This window comes from Homo sapiens, chromosome 18 (genome assembly GCF_000001405.40).
Source record: "Homo sapiens chromosome 18, GRCh38.p14 Primary Assembly".
NCBI lineage: Eukaryota > Metazoa > Chordata > Mammalia > Primates > Hominidae > Homo > Homo sapiens.
The window spans coordinates 22,687,269-22,701,539 of NC_000018.10; the positions used below are offsets into that span (position 1 = coordinate 22,687,269).

Here is a 14,271-nt window from a genome sequence, read left to right on the forward strand (position 1 = left end):
TCAAAAGTCCAAAGTCTCCTTTGAGACTAAAGACAACTTCTTTCCACCTATGAACCTGTAAAATCAAGAACAAGTTATTTACTTCCAAGATATAATGGTGATACAGGCATTGGGTAAACATTCCCATTCCAAAAGGGAGACATTGGCCAAAAGAAAGGGGCAACAGGCCCCACGCAAGTCTGAAACCCAGCAGCACAGTCATTAAATCTTAAAGTTCCAAAATAATCTCCTTTGACTCCATGTCTCCCTTCCATATCCCTGGGTGGATATTGAAGTACAAGTGGTGGGCTCCCAAGGCCTTGGGCAGCTCAGCCCCTGTGATTTTGCAGGGTACAGCCCCCATGGTTACTCTCATTGGTTACAGTCTGATGCCTGGAGCTTTTCCAGGCTCAGGGTACAAGTTGCCAGTGGCTTTACCATCCTGGGGCCTGGAGGGCTGCAGCCCCCTTTCCACAGCTCCAGTAGGCAGTGCCCTGGGGGGAACTCTGTGTGGAGGTTCCAACTCCACATTTCCTCTCAGCACTGCCCTAGTAATCTCTTTGTGTAAATTCTGCCCCTGCAGCAAACTTCTGCTTAGGCACCCAAGCTTTCCCATTCATCCTCTGAAATCTAGGTGGAAGCTGCCAAGCCTCCTTCACTCTTGCATTCCATGTGCCTGCAGACTTAATACCACATGGAAGATGCCAAGGGCTTATGGCAGCTTGTGCTCTCCAAAGCAGTGGCTGGAACTGATTTGGGACCCTCTGAGCCACAGTTGGAGCCAGAGCAGTGGGGATGCAGGAAGCAATGCCTCAAAGCTGCACAGGGCAGCTGGGCCCCAGGCCTGGCCCCCAAAAACATTCTTTCCTCCTAGGCCTCTGAGCCTGTGATGTAAGGGGGCTGCCTTGAAGATCTCTGAACAACCTTCAAGGCCTTTTTCCCATTTTCTTGGTTATTTACACCTGGCCCCCTTTCAGTCACGTTAATGTCTCTAGCAAGTGGTTGTTCCATAGCCCCTCGAATTTCTTCTCTACCAAAGGGCCAGGCTGCAAATTTTCCAAACTATGCTGTGCTTCCCTTGTAATTATAAATTCCAACTCTAAGTCATTCCTTTGCTCCAATGTTTGATTGTAGGTTGTTAGCAGCAGCCAAACCACCTCTTGAACACTTTGCTGCTTAGAAATTTTCTCCACCAGATACCCTAGGTCATTGCTCTCAAGTTCAAACTTCCACAAAGCCCTAGCATGGACACTATGCAGCCAGGTTCTTTGCTAGGGCATAATATGAGTAACCTTTGCTCCAGTTCCTATAAATTCCTCCTTTCCATCTGAGACCATGTCAGCCCGGCCTTCACCATCCATATTTCTATCAGCATTTTAGTCACAACCATTTAATCAGTCTCTAAGAAGTTCCAAACCTTCCCTCATCTTCCTGTCTTCTGATGACCCCTTCAAAATCTTCCAGGCTCTGCCTGTTACCCAGTTATGAACCCACTTCCACATTTTCAGGTATTGTTATAGCAACACCCCATACCTCAGTACCAATTTTTCGTGTTAGGCCATTTGCGTTGCTGTAAAGAAATACCTAGCTGGGCACAGTGGATCATTCGTGTACTCCCAGCACTTTGGGAGGCTGAGGCAGGCAGATCACTTCAGGTCAGAAGTTTAAGACCAGCCTGGCCAACATAGCAAAACCCTGTCTCTACTAAAATTACAAAATTTAGCCAGGTGTGGTGGTGCACACTGTAATCCCAGCTACTTGGGGGTATGAGACAGGAGAATCGCTTGAATGTGGGAGGTGGAGGTTGCAGTGAGCCAAGATTGCGCCACTGTACTCCAGCCTGGGTGACAGAACGAGACTCTGTTTCAAAACAAAAGAAACACCTGAGGCTGGGTAATTTATAAAGAAAATAAATTTAATCAGCTCACAGTTCTTCAGGCTGTATAAGCATGGCACCAACATCTGCTCGGCTTCTGGTGAGGGCCTCAGGAAACTTACAGTCATGGCTGGAGGCAGAGAGGGAAGCTGGCATATCACATGGAAAAAGAGAGAGCAAGCAGTGGGTAGGTGCCACACTCTGTTACACAACCAAATCTCACATGAACTCAGAGCAAGAACTCACTCATTAACAGGAGGAGGGCACCAAGCTATTCATGAAGGATCCATCCCTATGACCCAAACACCCCACCAGGCCCTACCTCCAACATTGAAGATTACATTTAGACATGAGATTTGGAGGGGACAAACACCGAAACTATATCACTTTCCCTTGTCTCTTCAGCCTCCCAAACCCACTCCTACCTCATTTGTCTGTACCCCTATTCCCTGTTTCCAATTCCACTCCTCCCATTCTCTCTAAAACAATAGGAGCAGGCTTCACTCCCATGCCATCAAAACTGCTCCTGTCAAGGTCACCAGTGACCTCCACATTACCTAACCTAGTGATCTCTTCCCATGCCATAGCTTAATCTCTGAGCAATATTTTACACTAACAATCACTCACACCTTCTCAAAACAGTTTCTTCATTGGACTTCTGGGACACAACACTGTCCTGCTACCTCACTGCTGCAATGCAGCACTCTCCTGCTACCTCACTGCTGGCTCCTACTCAGTCTCCTTTGCTGGTTCCTCCCAACTTCCTGATCTCTAAACACTGCAGGGAGCAGGAAGCAGGAAGCAGGACTCTTCCTTTCTCCATTCACACTCACTCTGTAGGTCAGTGATTTTCAACCCTGGTTTATCTTAGACTGACTTGGAGAGCTTTTAAAATTTCCAGTGCCTGGAACTGACCCTCCCTCCCCCAGAGTTACAATCTAATTGGTCTAGGATGAGGGCCAGTCATCCATGCATTTTTTAAGCTCTCATGATGATTCCAATACATAGCCAAGGTTAAGAACGACTGGCCTAGGATCTAGGTGTTCTCATCTAGTCCGTGGCTTTAAATTAAATCAATACAATGACAATTCTGAAATTGTATACATCCAGCCTGAAGTGTTCTCCTGAACTCCAGATTTGACAAACTAACATCTTGACATCTCCACCTGGATGCCTAACAGACATCTCAAACTTAACATGCCTGAAAATGAACTCTTGATTTTCCTTCCATCCAAAACCTGCTCCTTCTGCAGTCTTCTGCCTCTCAAAAAAATAGCTAGCCCAATCTTCCAGTTGCCCAACACAAAACACTGGCATCATCCCTGACATTTCTTTCTCTCTCTCTCACTGCATTTCAATCTATCAGTAAATCCTGTTGACTCTACTTTCAAAATATATCCAAGGTTCAGTCACTTCTCATCACCTCCATCAACTGTATCACTCCCACCCTGACCCCAGTTGTCATTGCTGGTAGAGCCTCCCAACTGGTCTCACTGTTTTTGCCTTTCCTTCACTAGTCTGTCCTCAACACAGCTGCTGAGTGATGCTTTTAAAAGCACATCAAGTCATGTCACCCCTCTGCTCCAAGCCCTCCAGTGGCTTCCCTTCTCACTCACAGAAACAGCTGGAAGTCTTTCTATGACTGCCCCAATCTGCCCTGGCCCACCACATTTCTCTAAGCTCATCTTCTGTCACTCTTATTACTCACTCAGATCCTGCCACCGTCATCTTTGCTAATCCTTGAACAAATATAGCATATTCCCATCTTAGGACTTTTGTACCTGCTATTCCTTTCACCTAGATTTTTCTTCTCCCAGGTATCTGCAGGCCCTGACTCCTCACTTCCTTAAAGACCCTGTCCAAATGGTACCTTATGAAAGAGACCTTCCCTGACCACCCTAAATAGGAGAGTTCTGCCTTCCCCATCACTGCCAGCCCCTATTCAAATACAGTGCTTTGTTTTCTCCATAACATCTCTTGCCACTGACATATACATTTGTTTCTATACTGATTATCTATGCACACTAGACTGTAAGCTCCATAGGAGATGACCTTTGTCAGTTTTGTTCACTGCAGAATCTCTACCTACTAGAACAGGCCTGACACATGGTACACATTTAGTGGACATCTGCTGAATGAATCAAAAAACAAAATTATGGTGAACCAAGAGCTGGAAGGCAGAATAATGCCAATTCAATTGAATCTTTCAAGGCTCTTAGAGGTCATTTGCTATAACTTTATCATGTCACTTTGAGAAAACCAATTTGGAGCCATTGAGAGATCTACTGAAAACTCACTGCAAGTTACTAGTAGAAACTAGAATGCTAGCCTCCCAGACTACTTTCTTCCAATATGCCATCATCTCTCTTAGTGTTCCCCCAAATTACTCTCTTCTTTATTAATCATGCCTTTCATCTTAGGATAATTCAACCATTAAAAAAGTATTCTTACATTATCATCACTAAGCTAAGGTATTGAACTCAACTCAAAGAAAGAAACTGAGACCCAATGAAAGAGGAATTTCAAAGACACTCAAACAAATAACGAAGCTTAGAATTAAATAGAAAATGGGAAAGGTCTTTCCTACCACTTAATCCACATCCCTGCTTCCATGCCAAACTAAAGTCATCACATGCCCCCTTCCATTTGCCTTTCATTGTTCCCATTAATAGATTAGAAAATTGAGGCAGAGACTAAGAAGAGAGAATTGTCCAGTAAAACTAACATAGAAATGCAATTTCGTGGTGGCTTATGGTCATGATTACACAGAGACATTTACTGAAGAGGAATAAATGAGGAGGCATTTCATATCTAATAACCCAACTTTCATCTCTAGTCACTTCAAGTATTTAGTATGTGTGAAGGAGAAGGACACTAGAAAACATGTCAAGCTGGCTTACAGGCACCAGATCTGAGAACTGGAGGATTTCTTTAACCATTCAAGTTCTGTTCATTTGCTATAAACAGCAAATCTGGCTCTTAGCCCCACTCTTACAGTGGAAGATTAACATGATAACAGTTGCATGACTTCCTCTCCCTAAAGATTCATCTTTAACTTCCTTTGGCTAAATCACAAAGTGTGTTTTTCATTTATTGTTGAGCGAAAGAGAGAATGTAGTTTCTTATAACCATCCCCCCAATTAAAAAAACACTCAGCTTAAGAAAACAAACTTAAGCAATAGTCATTTTTCAATTTGTCTATAAAAGTAGACATTTTAAATTTTTCATTACAGAGAAAAGTTTTTATTTATTTTAATACTACTTGAAATAGTTTCAAAGTGTTGGGAAATAAGTGCATGAATCAAAGGCATATCCAAAGAATCCTGTAAATTTCAGTGAAATCCTGTTTGCCACAGATTTGGAGCATTTTTCCTCTGTCCTTTTGAACTTGTTTCTGTTCTGCTGCTCTTGCAAAATATCCTTATGTATAGTTTAAGACCTCTGGCGGGGAAGTTCTCTTCATAGCTCACTTGCAAATCATTCAGTGAATGGGTAGAGATGTCTGTGGGTGGGGAAGGGAGCTGAGTAATCTTCATATCAGCCTGGCTCCTTTTTTCCCCAAGATCCTAAAAGAGCATTACAGACCCAGAGACAGCTGGCCTTATTTGTAAGAAAATTCAAATCTAACATAAGCTCCCAGTACCAATATATAGAATATGGATAGGCACAGGCCTTCAAATCCCACTGGCCTTTAAAATGTAAATAGTACTAGCGATCATGAGTGCAATAAAAACATGTGAGTAGGGAGTAGGGGGAGGGAATGGGACTAGGATGAATGGATCCTCTTTTGACTCCAATCTCTGTTTTAATATTGAAGGCATGGAGTTTTTATCACCCAATCCCAGCCTACAGCTGATGGCTAAAATTCTGGCCACCCAAGAAGAATCTTAAAAATATAATGAAAATATATTGTTAACAAATGGTCTTCTAAGATTTGGTAGTGTGTGCGCACACTGTGGGGCTAGACTTCTCAGTGCCTAACATCAGGAATATCCTTAACCCATCTGGAGACTTGTCAACGCTACTTAAGAAGGTCCTTGGGGCCCCATCCCAAATTTGAGAGTCTTTCCTCTCTGAAATCCAAAGGGGGAGCGAGAGTCATTTATCTAGAAAATATATGACCAACGGTTGAAACTTGGCATGATGTCAACTCAAGTATTCTCTTACTAGGCACACAAAAAAAGTCATTTGGAGAAGACAAGGCACCTGGAAACACTTCTATTCTGCCTTGATTCAATTCAATAGGTATTTACTGAATTGAACAATACATATTTCTAGGCTTGTTGACCCTTCTCAACACCATAACCTAATGTGGACAACGGGTCTTATGAATAAAACATATGTAACCATCTCCGCTGAAGAAGTCAAACGTTTATGACCCCCAGAATTCTGAGCTTCTGGTCCTGCAGTCCAGGCATCTTAAAGACTTCCGGCATTCTGCTAGTGTTACATTCATTCATTCCATCATAACTAGCAAGCTTTTAGGGCAAAGAATGAGGATTCTTCCTTTGGTGAAACTAGGTTTGCCATAACTGTCTACTCACTAGCACTCCTTAGGTCACAAGTCACTACATCTAGACAAGGGAAAAATTCAAGTGACTCCTTCATGTAGTTGTCATTGAAAGATGCTAACAAGAGACCATTTTCCCAGGGCCATTGACAATAAGATGTTTTGCTGAGCATGCAGTTGACATGAACTCCACACACAGACACCTTCGGCCAACTGTCAGCACATTTGAAATTCACACCTTCCTGCCTGTCATCCATCATTTCTCTTCATGGCTCCCAGCAAAGATGACTCCAGGCTTTCTTGAATTTGTGCACAGGTTGCTGTTTAAGCTTCCCCCAATCACTGAGTGGGTTTGTATTGCCTCCTCACCTAGATACCTCTCCTACCATTGGAGACTGCGCCATCATTTACTCCCAAAAAAGAAGACTCTGGGGACATGCTAAATATATAGCAGGTATTCAAAAATTCTTTCTGGATAGATGAATGAATGAGTGAGTGAGTGAACAAATGACCATGCCTGCATTCATTCCTTCCTAACCATGTATTCCCTATCTTCCATGGCTTTCATTGACTTAAAATATTATTTTGTATTTTCTTTGCTTTCAAGAAGCAGAGTAAATTCTATAATTTCTTTTCTTCCATATTCTTTCTCTTAACCTCTCATACCGATCTTATCTTGTATTCAGGGCTCATGGCTTCTCATGTCACCACGTTATCGCCCATGTGGATGGGGTTTGTGCCTGCCTTTGAAAGTGATCCCGAACCGAACTCCAGAGGCACCTCCTTTTCATGACTCCTCACCTCCCAGCCGCCCCTGATGCCCATTTTCTGGTGGTACCATGAAGCCTCCCACATCTGAATTACCTTGCCCTGTATATTTGCACATTTGCACATATGTTAACATAAACTTCAAGCTCCTCCAAACCAACAAAGAGAATCCTCTGTCACTGCTATACAAAAACACCTTCCAGAGTATAACGCTGGGTTTAAAACAATGGTAGGATCACACCCACTAAAAGACAAGGAGGGTAGGGTGAAGGAATCTCAAATGTTTTGAGAGGATAATAGAAATTGTGCCAGGAAAATGGAATCACCTGTATTGTCACCAATATTATAGGTCCTATATCATTTTTCAAATTTTTGGTAATATAATAATATAACTTCTATAATGGGAAATAAATATGCTTAAATGGTACTCAAAATATCATCTAAGCAACAGGATTTGTTTTCTCTAATTTCTAATCCTGATACTCATGCCTGCCTCAAATTACCAACTATCAGGGTTTTGGGAAATTTACAGAGATCTTAGAAATACTCTCAGTTCATAGATCTTTTCACTGAAGCTGAAGAAAAGAGAAAACAGAAACTAAGGTCTTTGCCATTTGACTCTACTCATGCTACGGCAGCAGACTGCATCTTCTCGCTCTTTAGTGGTAATCCACATTGCTGGGTCCCTCCCACTTTTCTTAATAACCACTGGCGGTGGCAAGTTTCCCTGACTCAGACAGGCAGTGCTCATCGCGGACAGGGCCTCCGACATTTGACTGGCCTTGTAACTGGTGAGTCATGAATTCCCTGGGCTTTAGTTTCTTCATTTGTAAAGGGAAGCTTTATGGAGTCTTTGGGAGGATTGAATGAAATATGCAAAAACACTTTGTAAATGACTGATTCCTAAGCCCAATATTGAATGCTTAGTACGTGACAATCTCTGCGCTGAGAATTCCACATGCCTCACTTCAGCTCATCTGAGTGTCAGCGCTACATAGGGAAGTTCTCGGGGCTCATCCCACATTCAAAGTCCTTTTCCCTCTTTGAAATCTCAATATGGGGCTATTGCATTTATCTAGAAAACACTTAAGCAATAGTTAAACCTTTTATTTTGAAGAATAAGAAACTTGGCTAAGATAGGTTACTTACTTACCTATGGCCACACAGCTAGCACATGCAAAGCCTGGGATTAAACCAGGTCTATCTGACTTCAAACTTTTAATCACGATCCAATTTTTTGTTGCAGAATTCCTTTAAGAGCTCTAAATTAATAAGTGGTGAGATGGCATGAAAACTCTTTATTCTTTTCCTTTTCCACAAGCATTTTGAGAAATCAAAATGGTAATGTACATTACGATATTTGGAAAGCCATAAAGGGCTAAACAAGAGTAGGTTACATCAGTCAATCACTACTCACCCACAATAAAGGGGTGGCTATGTTGTTTATACGATTTTACTATTAAGGCAATGTCTTGAGTGAATATAATTTATTTCTGTTTATAGAAAGCCTAACAGCCTCGAGGGGAATTGCTTATTGAGATGTGAGCCATGGATTACTTCATGTTTTGTATAGTACAGTCACAGTTTTAAAAAACAATCTAGAATTCCCTGCAACTGGCAATTTCATTGCTGTATGGCCTGAAATGCCTCCATGCCCAGGTAACGTTGGGGATCCCTTAAAACCTCTCCCTGTATCGGCTCCAAGCACTGGCTCCCTTTAACCCCTAAGCCCTCACAGAACAATAAAAAATAATATACCTTTATTCAACACTCTTACATTTTCAAAGTCCTTTCTTTATCATTTGATATTTGCAGGAATGCTGAAGTTATCTGAGCGGGTACTTGGCCTCATTTTATATGAAGGAAATTTAAATGCAGAAAGACTAAGAGATTCATCTATGTTTCCATAGACGGAGTATGCTGCAGTTGAGATGTGAATTCAGGACACGTGAATGTCCACAGTTTTGCACTCTCCTATTGATCTGCTTTTACGGGATTTCATCTTGGTTGCTATGCTACCTCTCACAGAAGCATCTGCATTTATTCGCTTCCATTCTAGTCAACAAAAACTTATGGAGAATTGACTTTGTACCAGGGATCTTTTAGGTGAGGAAACTGAAAGAGGAAAAAGACATAGTCTCTGCACTAAAAGAGCTCCCAGTCTATAGAGGGGACAGACACACCTACCTACTGGACAACAGACCCTCATGTAGTAAACTAGAGAACTATTCTAAAACTTCCAAATGGTAGAATGAAAGGCTTTATACCAGTTAAAGGAGTTTAGACATCAGCTGGCAGCTGGGGAGTGGTCTGGTGATATGACAGTGGACACTTGGGCTGCCTGAGAGGAGCATGCGTTGGTCACATAAGGTTGCCTGGGCAGAGATCAGAAGAGATGGACCTGGTGTCTCTCTCCCAGTTTCCTGTATTCCCCAGGCATGACAAGCCCACCCTCTGTGACTGCTGGTGGTCTGGTCCTGGTAAGTGGTCCATCTGCCTCTTCCAACCACAGCTTTTATCCCCATCACAGACTCTGGGCCTACCAAATCCCTTCTGCAATCCCCAGCTCCCAGGGCCCAAGAGTCCAGTGTGCTCTCTCAGCCTCTCTCCCCTTTCATCCATAGGCAGACTGGATCCTTGTGCTAGAAATCCTTCCAGAACCAGCAATCTGGGCCCCATCTTTTTCTCTGGCAACAGAAAAAGGCAGAATACACAGCCCAGGAAGAACTCTGGCAGGAAACCCCTGAAGGGTGACCCAGAACACCTTAGGTCTTGGAAAATGGACAGGGAGTCTGGAAACATGGCCCCAGGTGCTGGCTGCACAGATCTTTGCTTTGTTTTTTTTTAAGTGTATTATTTTTATGTTAATTTTTTTATTTCCATAGGTTTTTGGAAAACAGGTGGTGTTTGGTTCCATGAGTAAGTTCCTTAGTGGTGATTTCTGAGATTTTGGTGCACCCTTCACCCAAGCAGTGTACACTGCACCCAATTTGTAGTCTTATCCTCATCTCTCACCTTATACAAAAATCAACTCAAGATGGATCAAGCACTTAAAATCTAAGACCTGAAACTATAAAAATTCTAGAAGATAACATCAGAAAAACCCTTCTAGACATTGGCTTAGGCAAAGACTTCATGACCAAGGACCCAAAAGCAAATGCAACAAAAACAAAGATAAATAGGTGAGACTGAATTAAACTAAAGAGCTTCTGCACAGCAAAAAATCCTTGCTTTTTAATATGTGCCAGTGTGTATGGGTGGAGAAAGAGTGGGGTGGCCATGAAAATGCACCATGCAGCTCTTCTGCTGTGGGGGGCAGAGTTGACTGACGACCTCAGCCACTGCCCTGCTGGGTCCACCGCTGTGGCTATGTCAAAACCTAAGCCATGCTGCCAGCAATTTGCTCCCAATCAACCCCAAGCACAGCAGGGAGTGAGTGCAGGCCCACTCCTGTGAGAATCAGGGCTCCTCTAATAGGTGCCTGGGCTCGAGGACATCCCAGAGGCCTGGCCAAAGCTTTCTTGAAACTGCTCTAGAGTCTGGGACCCTTCCTATCCAATCTTCCTTTGTTCCCGTCTCCTCTGCAGGTGTGAGGCTGCATCTGGGTCTGACGACTCTCGCTGCCCCCTCCCCTTTATCCTTCACAGGTGTTTCTTGTGCACATCGATGCACATCCTGGCATCTGCTTCTTGGAGGACCAGAATTTACACTGTATTTGATGAAACTTAAATTAATCTAAACTGTGATAACGACACTTTATACATCATCCTGAGCTAAGAAATTCGAAGCAAAAAAGTCATAAAAATAAGGCTTGGTAGTAACACAAGTAATAACAATTACAGGAATTTATAGAAACTGCTTACCATTTATGCCTAATTACCATACAGAGCAACAGCAATTATACAGATTATTAAATACAGGTCAAATTAACATTGTTGAGGGTAGAGTGTACTCGATTTAAGATGTGGATTCAGGACACTCAGATGTAGTAATCCATATTGATTACGGCACTGAATTCTGTTCTTCCAATCTTCTAAAAATGACTAAGACAAATTTTTTAAGATTAGAGAGTGGGTGGCGTGGATGATGAGAAATTACTTAATGGGTACGATGTACATTATTTGGGTGATGAACACCCTAAAAGCCTTCACCACTACACAATCTATGCATGAAACAAAACTGCATTTCTACCTCATACATTTATACAAAACAAAGCAAAAATAAAAACTGGAGGAAACAATGTGGCAAAGACCAATTTTCTTCAAAATCCACATAACGGCAAGGGACAAACTTTAACAGTTCCACCTGAATAAACTTACCAGCAAAGATTTGTCCTTCTTGTGCCTCACCCTGGGTTATGAGATTTCAAGTATAAGCAAAGAAACTACCTTCATTTCTTAAGGGTTATCTTTTCAAATGTGTTTTGAAAACCAAATCCTGCCTATCTGGGATTGCTCCATATTCTCTAGTGAAAACAGCTTCATAAAGTGATTCATCCTCTCCAGGCCACCTGAGCCCATGCCTGGAAATGTGGTCCTCTTATTTGCTAACAAATAAGGGCTTACTCAGGACCTGGACCAACAAACAGGCAATGGCTTGCACTACCTGAGCCATGGAGCCCACAAGTTCAGGATTTAATCTGCAAAATCCAGGCAGCTGCTACCAAGTGTAATCGTGCCCCATCTGTGAACACCTGGGCTTCTCACCTTCTTCACAGTGCCACCAGGTGTGAGATAGTACCATCCCTGGGTCACAGACAAAGTGCGACAGGAAAGGCCAGAAGTTCACAAGGTATGCTATGAACATACAAGATGACGGTAAGACTACAAATCCTACCTCGGGGAGCATCGCTCAGCTCTTCTTAGCTTACAGGTTTGGACACCATGTCTCAGCTACCCTTGACTAAGGCTGAGAGACCAGGATGGGCATCTGCCCAGAAGGCTCCGGGGGCTTCTAACACAAGGTAGAAACTGCCAAGTAGACCACTTTTATGCAATAAACCTTCAGCAGGCTGGTGGAGAATGGGAGTAACCTTTCTTGAAGGTCTATCTTGAAGATAATCATCCAGGCCTTATGTTGGGCATTTTGTCATTTTACCATCTTTAACTCTTACCACAGCCTCTTTTCCTGATGAAGACAGTTAGGGCCAAAGAAGTTTAAATAACTTACTCAGGTCACTCAGACAGGAAATGGCAAAATCAGAACTGGAACGAGCTGCTTAACTCCAACTTCTCTTTCTACTTCGTATTAACTCTTAGGAGTCTTTGAAGAAGAAGAAAGGAAATTTGGGTCACATAGGTATTCGTTTCCTATTGCTGCTGTAACAAATCACCCCCAAGTTAATAGCTGAAAACAACACGTTTATCATCTTAGTGTTCTGGAGGTCGAAGTCTAAAATGGGTCTTGCTGAGCTAAAAGCAAGGTGTGGGCAGGGCTGCATTCCTTCTGGAGGCTCCAGGGGATAATCTGTTTCCGGCTTTATGAGTTTCCAGGTACCTCCTCCCACGTTCCTTCCACGTGGCCCCTCCCTCCATCTTTAAAGTACAACACGGCAACCACTGTTTCTGTTATCACACTTCCCTCTTCCGATTTTGACTTTGTTGCCTCCCACTGATAAGGATTTTGGTGATTACACTGAGCCCACCAGGATAGTCTCCCTGATCTCAAGATCCTTAACTTAATCACGTTTGCAAAGTCCCCTTTTCCACGGAGGGTAACATATTCGCAGGTCTGGGGATTAGGACACGCACATCAGAATGTTATTCTGCCTACCACACATATATAGTGGGTCCCATGTCTCCCCTCCTTTGCCCTATTGCATGGCTTGTATAAGATTCTCATCTGTCCATCCAAATCACAGATTTGAGGGCTTCTACCAGAACATGAAGCTGGGCAACATTTCTTTGCACAAACTTGTACATAGCTGTCACTTGAAATGCCAAAAACACGGTTGTAATATTTCAACAAGCTAACATATGGGTACTTCTTACTTTGGGGTTTTTTTTAAACTTATTTTATTAACAGCCAAATAATTATTGCACATACTCATGGGATACATAGGGATGTTTTCATACATGTAATGTACAGTGATCAGATCAGGGTAATTAGCATATCCAACATCCCAAAGATTTATCATTTCTTCATGTTGGAAGCAGCAATATTCTCCTTCTAGCCATTTGACTATAGTCACCCTATAGTGGTATAGTGGTAACTATAGTGCTGTAGTTAACGATAGTCATCCTACAGTGGTACAGAACACTAGAACTTACTCTTCTCCTCTACCCATAATTGTGTATCCTGATCTCTCCCTTCCCCTGCCCTTCCCAGACTCTATTTTTAATTGTTTGGCTAAGGTGGATGGTGACATTGGAGCTGAAAACAACCATTAATCCTCCTTAATAAAAATTAATTTGATCCTTGAATTTTTTTCTGCTTTGAATGTTGAAAAGTTGACATAACATTTAAATCTTCAGGGTAACCAAGGACAGTAGTATAAATCATGTCCTTTCACTCAAACTAATAGTTTTTTGCCTAAAAGCAAACTGTAATAAGCAGATGAAATAAATATTTTGAGCAGAGTCATTTCCTGTTGGGTAAAAAATGAATACTTTACCTTGACATTAAGTATATACACTTGTTAATATTCTGTTTATTATTTGAAACCTTCCGTTATAATATTATTCCTTATTATTTATTCTTCATTATTATTTTTCCTTATTATTTATTTCCTTATTATTATTTATACCCTTATTATTATTTCCTTATTATTTATTTCATTATTATTTATATCCTTATTATTATTTATTTCCTTATTTCCTTATTATTTGAAATCATCCTATAATGGAAATCATCACATACAAAGTATTGTATGGGTATTTAGGAGTGAGTTTATTTCTTTGAAATATTTGTTTCCCTAAGTTAGAATGACTTAGAAAAATTAGCACAAACCATGCAATATCAAGGATGTAAAACTGACTTGTATCTGAACAGACGGGAATTTTTGTTAAAGAGTATTCTTACAAGCTGGTATGGCTTTTAAAATGGCCTCCACATGTCCGGAGGATTTGTCTCATTTTAAGCCAGCAGTGTTGCTCCATCTGAATGCTGGAGACATGAGCCCAGTTCACAGTTAGCAATC

The 14,271-nt window shown here is 41.9% G+C and overlaps 1 long non-coding RNA gene across 1 annotated transcript; it reads left to right on the top strand.

Annotated features, from left to right (window-relative positions):
• Positions 1–7,862: 7,862 nt before the first annotated feature.
• On the top strand, positions 7,863–13,555 carry LOC124904264 (uncharacterized). Its single transcript, XR_007066309.1, has 2 exons — positions 7,863–7,924; positions 8,949–13,555. It is a non-coding gene; the product is annotated as an uncharacterized LOC124904264 (long non-coding RNA).
• Positions 13,556–14,271: the final 716 nt, after the last annotated feature.